Source organism: Homo sapiens, chromosome 7 (assembly GCF_000001405.40).
Source record: "Homo sapiens chromosome 7, GRCh38.p14 Primary Assembly".
Lineage (NCBI taxonomy): Eukaryota > Metazoa > Chordata > Mammalia > Primates > Hominidae > Homo > Homo sapiens.
Genome location: NC_000007.14, coordinates 136,441,227 through 136,450,262, shown reverse-complemented (window position 1 = coordinate 136,450,262; position 9,036 = coordinate 136,441,227).

The window sequence follows — 9,036 nt, the reverse complement described above, 5'->3', positions numbered from 1 at the left end:
ATGAATATCTGATATGTGTCAGATGTTTAGGCATAAGCATTGAAAGTTGAAAAAAGTGTGAATATTTCTATCCTCAAGTTTTGAGAAAAAGAAAAAAACAAACAAAAACTAGTGGTGGTAGAATTCCAAAGATGTTGCCCCAATAGCCTGTCTTCTGATTATTCAATCAAACTCTGTCTAGGTAGGACTGTTAGAGATTTTTTCAGACGTAATTGAGATTATAGATCATAAAAGAGGGAGCGCATCCTGTGTTATCCAGGTGAGCCCAATCTAATCACTTGACTCCTTACAGCAGAGAACTTTCTCCGACTGGAGTCAGAGAAGAGATGTGGCACAAAACAAAAATGAGTCAGAGAGACTAAAGGGAAATGCAGTCAGCCTCTAAAAGCTGAGAATGGGCGGGGCGCGGTGGCTCACGCCTGTAATCACAGCTCTTTGGGAGGCCGAGGCGGGCGGATCTTGAGGTCAGGAGATCGAGACCATCCTGGCTAACATGGTGAAATCTTGTCTCTACTAAAAAATACAAAAAATTAGCCAGGCACGGTGGCGGGCGCCTGTAGTCCCAGCTACTCGGGAGGCTGAGGCAGGAGAATGGCGTGAACCCAGGAGGCGGAGCTTGCAGTGAGCCGAGATCGCGCCACTGCACTCCAGCCTGGGCGACAGAGCAAGACTCCGTTTCAAAAAAAAAAAAAAAAAAAAAAAAAAAAAAAAGCTGAGAATGACCCCCAGCCAACTTCCAGCAAGACAAGTGGGACTTAAGTCCTATAACCACATAGCAGTAAATTCTGCCAACAGCCTGAATCAGTTTGGAAACAGATTGTCTCCCAAAGCCTCCTGGTAAAAACCCAGGCTGGCCAGAACCTTGATTTGACCTTGGGGAACCTAGAGCAGAGCTCAACTGAGCCACCAGATTCCTGACCTACAGAAGTGTGAGGTAATAAATCTGTGTGGTTTTAAGCTGCTAAATTTGTGATAATTTGTTACAGCAGCAATATAACACGAATCCAGTACTTTTAAAAAATTCCTTATCTTCTTCTGCTTCCTCTATTCCCACCCCATCTAGAGCAGCAAAATCAGTTTTCAGTGGATCCGCAAGAAAGTAAATAGATGCTTTGTAGATGCATCCTACAAATTTAAAGTAGCCAAGAACAAATTTTTCAAATTAGTATTTTTCTTTAAAGTCTAATTGGTAAGAGAAATGAGAATACTTATGTCAAGGAGGTGAGGCTCCAAATTCTCATTCTGCCATTTACTATTTTATATGACTTGGGACATGTCTTTAGCCCCTTATTACATGGTTTCCACATGAGTAAATGAAAAATAGATACTTGCATTACAGTGTCATTGAAAAGATTAAAAACTATTTTTTCAAAGTGTCCCTTATGAAATATTTTAAAATAATTTTAAGATACAAAAGACAAGACTTTATTGCCTAAATTCATTTTGTTATTACAGGGCAATCTGTATTTATTATAAAACAAACTCTTAAAAAACAGTTAAGACAAATATATTTTTAAGAAGGGAAAAGAAACAAAAAGCATAACGACATTCTAGACTAATTTTGGTGAACATACCCTTCCAGACATTCAATTTTTGCACATTGTAATCAACATGTTCATATATAATGTGGCGGGAAAACTTAATGACATTTTCTTCTTTACTTTCACCACTATAAAGATATCAGAAAGAATAAAAATTGTTTCAATTTTTCTTTTCCAGGGAAATAGAAATAGTCTCACAGACTCAGTTTGCCATACCCGGAGCTTCTCTTCCCTCCCTTCCCCGAGAAGAGAGAAACTTCCTTTGACTGTGAAGGGGAAAATCATTTAGATCCCTTTGATGGGATAGGCAGTAGAGGATTAGGCAGAGGAGAATGGCTGCAATGACCTCTCAGAAGGCCTAAATTCAGCCCAACAAAAGTTGATGGCCAAGACAAACCCCAAGGCAATAAGATCAGGCTATATGCCACTTAAATATATATTGTAGTGAAATTTTAAAACAGTGGCATTAAAAAGTCCATGGATATAAGATTTTTGGATGTAAGAACGTCCAAAATATGTAGGAAAAACATTTTACTTGTATAATAGTTTTACCAAAATTCTATAACCTGCTTTTTCACTTGATATCTTAACTTTTTATTACATCATTAAACCGAAAGCTACAAAATAAACTTAAGAGCTACATAATATTACTTTGGATAGATGCTCCATATGTTCTATTAGTAATATATTTTTGGACATATTGGCTAAATCCAAATTTTCATTATTGTAAACAATTTTGCTGTCAGGCTCCTTTATCTTTGCTATAATGAAAGAATAATTCAAAGCAACATGTGCTTTACAAGAATCAAAACCAAAAAGCTGAGAAGCACAATACTGATGAAGATCAAATCTAGGACAACTAATTTGCAACCACTGAAGACAGGGAAGTTTCTATCCAAAGCCTCCTGAAACATATGGTCAATATCTCGCTCTTTGTTACTTAATTTTTGGTGCCCTGCGATTTGGTTTTCTCAAAGAGAGGTGGCCTCTTGAGAACAAGGCAACAAATGCATTGCTTTTCATATTCTCAGGCTTTCTTCTATGTTCAGCAAAGAGTGAATGCATGCAATTTATAGAATGATTTCCACAATTATACTTGTTGTGTTGGCTAAACACATATTAAGGTGAAAGGAGGTTTAAAAAAAATATTGACTAGACATACCTTTAAAAGCTTATTATGACTTGGCTTCTCCAAAAAACAGAAACCCGTGATGGCTCAGTGCTCTTACTGAAATCCAAGATTTGATTTAGGAGCGTGTGTTTAGGTGATTGCAGTTTATCAAGCAGCTGGACTAAGAATACATGTTCTAGAACCAACAAAGACCGTTTACTAGAGTCCGCATGTCTGGGTTTTTGTAATTCTTTTTAACGATTCAATAAATACATGTGATATAATTTGATAGGCTAAATGTTTTGTTTTTATTTACTATCAGTTACCCAGAGGTTGAATGTGTTTAAATACATAAAATTAGGTCTCCAAGCAGAAACCTCAAATACATTTAAATAAGTCTAAACATTGAGCAAACATTTTGAGGGGAGAATCTCATGTATTGAATCTGGGCAAAAGTATCTTGATAAGCCACCAGGTCAAATCAATGAAGTACTTCATTCAAATTGTTCCATGGTCAGATGTGGTTTATTCTCCACTGGCTTGTGTGCTTTCTAATTCAAGTGGCTTGTTAGTGAGGAAACCTCAGAGGGATAGCTGGTGTGTCCTATAGCCTGGCTTCTGGCTTCCCTTTCCCTGAACTCTGTGGGCAAGCAGCCACAGTGAGTTCCCAGTATTGAAGACTTGTTTCTCCTTAGCAGCCAGGAATAAATCTTTAGTGTAGTGTCTAACCTCAACATTATGGAAAGACAAGGGATGCTAAAATGGCTTACAAGTTCCATTTAACTGGGAAGAGGCTGAAGTATCCAGGAGAAAACAAATGTCTCAAAAGCCTAGCCTTGCAAAAACATAGCCCTTTAAAATCATGGCTCCCCAGCAAAACTGTTTACCAAATTTTGCCTATTTTTCACTCTATTAACAGGAGCTCAAATGTCCATTTTCAATCATTCTTTATGCATGTAGAACTGGGGAAAAATCATGATGTTCTCCCTCCCACCCTCAACACATTACAGGTGCACTTTCTATTTCCAAACTGGGGATAGCTTTAAAAGTGAGAAAATACCATAAAAAGAAAGCAATCCAAAATCATGTATACTGCAGGGGATGGGTATTTAACAACTTAAATTCAGTTCCTCTTTCTGGGACATGAAATAGAAAAAGGATCACTGTTCCCTACCCCCAACACACAAACACACACAAACACACACACACACACACACACTTTTTTTACATCTCAAATTTATAAAAACCCCAGAGGATGAAATGAAACTCTTCCTGAGGACACCTCCACAAGTCACTGTGCAGTCACCAGTAGCCTAGAATTCCCTAAATGTGATCTTTCTGATTTGGCTGTCTCTCAAAGAGGCAAATCCAATGAACATTAATGTAATCACTAGCTTTGATGGTAACTGTAATTATGTAGAAATCCAAAAACTCAGTCGTCATTTTAACTGGCTTATCAGGATTAGTGGAGGGAGAGGAAGAAAATATTGCATATATACCTGGAATGTCATTGTCTTGTGTTCATTTTACTTTGACCTCTTATTTAATTTGCTTTTCACATGTGTGTACCTGAATATGACTGGAAACTCAGTGCATTTTGTTAAAATATTCTCTTCTGGTTCTAAATTGAATCGTATAGTGTGGTTAATTTATAATCTTATGAATCTGCATATTGAATAATTGTGCAACAAATAAATAACAAAAAAAATCTGGCCTATTTGATTTTCTGGTCTGTTTCAGCATAAATAAAAAGAACATGGAAAAAAATAGTTGAATCTAAATAGAATCTTAGCCTTCTAGAGGAGGAAATGGCAAAACAGTCAGTGGCCAGAATTAATTTGATGTTAATAAATAACACACATAATGAACTTGAATTCCTATTTTACTTAGAGTAGTTCCAGTTCCATATTAGCTCTCAAGAATGAGATATCTTGTAAGCCTTCGGAAAAAAAAAAAGATTTATTATGTGCTAGATTCTGTTTTATAAATCCTTCAGTGCAAGTGTTACTGCGCATGACAAATGGAAAGACACTATCATTCTTTATATTTTCTTCTTTGTAGATGAAATCTCTCAATCAAACAAAAATAAAAGACCTGCCCTTGAGAGTAGAGTCTAAAACATAGTCTTTGGAATCAGTGGAATGCATCACAAATTCTGTGCTGTTCTGATGAAGTTATGTATCCAGAACTGCTTCTTCAGGAAGCCAAGTCAACATTAGGGATGACAATTCTGGTGTTTCAAAAGAGTTCGTAATGGAATCATTTTGCCCTAGAGATCATTTGGTAAGAGGAAAGCTCTAATTTCAAACAAATAAACTACAAAATGATTTAACTTATGCTCAGACCATAACTAACACCATCATTCAGAAACCAACAGTATACTCTACCATGCCCTGAATTAAATCATTTGTAGTGTAGATTTAACCACTCAACACAAATTCATTAACAGTTTTGCAAATGCTACATTTCCATTTCACCCAAAGAAGGTAATCCACTTAAAAAATGTTAATGGTGAAGACAAATGTATTTCATTTCTGCTATTCAATATTATTGGTTCAAAATGTTAGATGTAGTTCAAAGAGTATTTGTTGTCAGTCATACAATCCAAGTTCAGGTGTCAATGTAGCATTCTTACATATCTGATTTTCTAGCTCACGGGCTAGAGGTCGGGTTGGTTATTCCATAGTGGGCAGGTATAGGCAAAACCTACCCCTAAAGGCCTTGGCTGAGAGGTGAAAGAAAGAGGCTGACAAGTTTATTTTTTCAGGAAGAAACATTTAATAGGGACTTAAGAATAGAAACCATTTCTCAGTGGCCAAGAGACATTGGATCCTTGAACCTGCCTTCCAGAAAGTGTCCTTTATATAGCAAGCTTTTGGGGTAAAACATGTGCAGCTGGGCATGCCTCTGACTTTCTTGCAAAACTTGTGGCTACTGGGGAGGTGAGATAAGCATCTTTCTGAAGGGTTATCTATGCTACAGGCATTGTTTCTTAACCTGGCTGCGGAATGTCTTGGGATGCAGAGGTCAAGCATCAGTCATTTTGGCAGGTTTGATTGAAGATGACGTTACTGTTGCAATACGACAGACTATTTTTCTACATCAGTGAGTGAAAATAAAAATCTTTTTGCAGTTTTATATGTAGACATGAGATTGACCTACCCTACTTCCCAGTTCAGGAATCATAGCTATATATAAAACTACCAGAGTGCTTTAGCATATCAGATATTGTGTTATTTCCACGAATTACCACATCTGTGAATTTTCACAAGAATTATCTGAACTAGGCATTAGCATCTGCATTTTGGTAGATGAGAAAACTTGGATGTAAAAAAAATAAGTAATTTAAAATAATAAGGAGATACCACTAACCCTAGTAAAATGGCTAAAATTCAGAACACTGACAACACTAAATGCTGGTGAAAATGTGGAGCAGCAGGAACTCTCAATCGTTGCTAGTGGGAATGCAAAATGGTACAGCCACTTTGGGAAATAGCATGGCAGTTTCTTACAAAACTTACCATACTTTTATCATACAATCCAGCAATTTTAGTCCTTGGTATTTACCCAAAGGAAAAATTATGCCCACACAAAAACCTGCACACAGAGTTTTATGGCAGTTTTATTCATAATTGCCACAACTTAGAAGCAACCAAGAGGTCCTTCAGTAGGTAGATAAATAAACAGTGGTAAATCTGGAAAATGAAATATTATTCAGTGTTAAAAAGAAATAAGCAGTCAGCAGTATCTTGTAGTTTACCTTGTAGAGGTTTTTCACCTTCTCGGTTAGGGCTATTCCTAGTTTTTTAAATTTGTTTGTTTTTTGCAGCTATGGTAAAAGGGGTTGAGCTCATGATTTGATTCTCAGTTTGGTTACTGTTGGTGTATAGCAGAGCTACTGATTTGTGTACCTTAATTTTGTATTCTAAAACTTTGCTGAATTCATTTGTCAGTTCTAGGAGCTTTTTTGAGGAGTATTGAGGGCTTTCTAGGCATACAATCATATCATCAGCAAACAGCAACAGTTGACTTCCTATTTACCGATTTGAATGCGCTTTATTTCTCTCTTGTCTGCTTGCTCTAGCAAGGATGTCCAGTCCTATGTTGAAAAGAAGTGGTGAGAGTGGATATCCTTGTCTTGTTCCAGTTCTCAATGGGGAATGCTTTCAACTTTTCCCTGTTCAATATTATGTTGGCTGTGCATTTGTCATAGATGGCTTTTATTACATTAAGATACGTCTCTTCTATGCGGATTTTGCTGAGGGCTTTAATCATAAAACATATGCTGGATTTTGTCAAATGCTTTTTCTGCATCTATTGAGATGATCATGTGATTTTTATTTTTAGTTCTGCTTATGTGGTGTGTCACATTTATTGAGTTGCATATGTTAAACCATCCCTGCACCCCTGGTATGAAACCCACTTGATCATGATGGATTATCTTTTTGATATGCTGTTGGATTCAGTTAGCTAATATTTTGTTAAGAATTTTTGCATCTATATCCACCAGGGATATTGGTCTGTACTTTTCTTTTCTTGTTATGTCCTTCCCTGATTTTGGTATTTGGGTGATACTGGCTTCATAGATTGATTTAGGGAGAATTGCCTCTTTCTCTGTCTTGTGGAATAGTAGGATTGGTACCAATCAATAGGATAGGTACCAATTATTCTTTGAATGTCTGATAGAATTCAGCTGTGAATCCATCTTGTTCTGAACTTTTTGTTTTTTCTTTTTGAGACAGAGTCTCACTCTGTCGCCCAGGCTGAAGTGCAGTGGCATGATCTCGGCTCACTGCAATGTCCATCTCCCGGGTTCAAGTAATTCTCCTGCCTCAGCCTCCTGAGTAGCTGTGATTATAGGCATGCGCCACCACATCCAGCTAATTTTTGTATGTTTTAGTAGAGACAGGGTCTCACCATGTTGGCCAGGCTGGTCTCAAACTCCTGACCTCAGGTGATCCACCTGCCTCAGCCTCCCAAAGTGTTGGGATTACAAGCGTGAGCCACCATGCCCCACCTCTGAATTTTTTTTTGTTGACAATTTTTGTATTACCATTTCAGTCTTGCTGCTTGTTATTGGTCTGTTCAAAGTTTGTATTTCTTCCTGTTTAATCTAGGAGGGTTGTGTATTTCCAGGAATTTATCTCCTCTAGGTTTTCTAGTTTATGCGTGTAAAGGTGTTCATAGTAGCTTTGCACAAACAAATGGAAACACATCCCATGCTCACGAATGGGTAGAATCAATACTGTGAAAATGACAAACTGCCAAAAGCAGTCTACAAATTCAATGCAATTCCCATCAAAATACCACCATCATTCTTCACTCAACTAGTACAAAACAATCCTAAAATTCATATGGAACCAAAAAAGGGACCACAAAGCCAAGCAAAAAGAACAAATCTGGAGGCGTCACATTACCTGACCTCAAACTATACTATACGGACATAGTCACCAGAACAGCATGGTACTAGTATAAAGATAGGCACATAGACAAATGAAACAGAATAGAGAACCCAGAAATAAAGTTACAGTCAACTGATCATCAACAAAGCAAACAAAAACATAAAGTGCAAAAGGACACCCTATTCAACAAGTGGTGCTGGAATAATTGTCAAGCCACATGTAGAAGAATGAAACTGGATGCTCATCTCTCACCTTATATAGAAATCAACTCAAGACGGATCAAATACTTAAATTTAAGATGTGAAACTATACAAATTCTAGAAGATAACTTCAGAAAAACTCTTCTAGACATTGGTTTAGACAAGCACTTCATGACCAGGAACCCAAAAGCAAATGCAACAAAAACAAAGATAAAAATATGGGACTGAATTAAACTAAAAAGCTTCTGCAAGAAAAAGAAACAATCAGCAGAGTAAACAGACAACCCACAGAGTGAGAGAAAATCTTTGCAATCTATACATGCAACAAAGGACTAATATCCAGAATCTACAAGGAACTCAAACAAATCAGAAAAAAAAATCCCATCAAAAAGTGGGCTATGGACATGAATAGACAATTCTCAAAAGAAAATATACAAATGGCCAACAAACATGAAAAAATGCTCAACATCACCAATGATCAGGGAAATGCAAATCAAACTCACAATGTGATATTACCTTACTCCTGCAAGAATGGCCATAATCAAAAAATCAAAAAAAAAAATAAATAAACATTGGTGGGGATGTGGTAAAAAGGGAACACCTTTAAACTGCTGGTGGGAGTGTAAACTAGTGCAGACACTTTGGTAAACAGTGTGGAGATTCCTTAAAGAACTAAAAGTAGAACTACCATTTGCTCCAGCAATCCCACTACAGGATATCTCCCCAGAGGAAAAGAAGTCATTATACAAAAAAGATACTTGCACATGCGTGTTTGTATTATA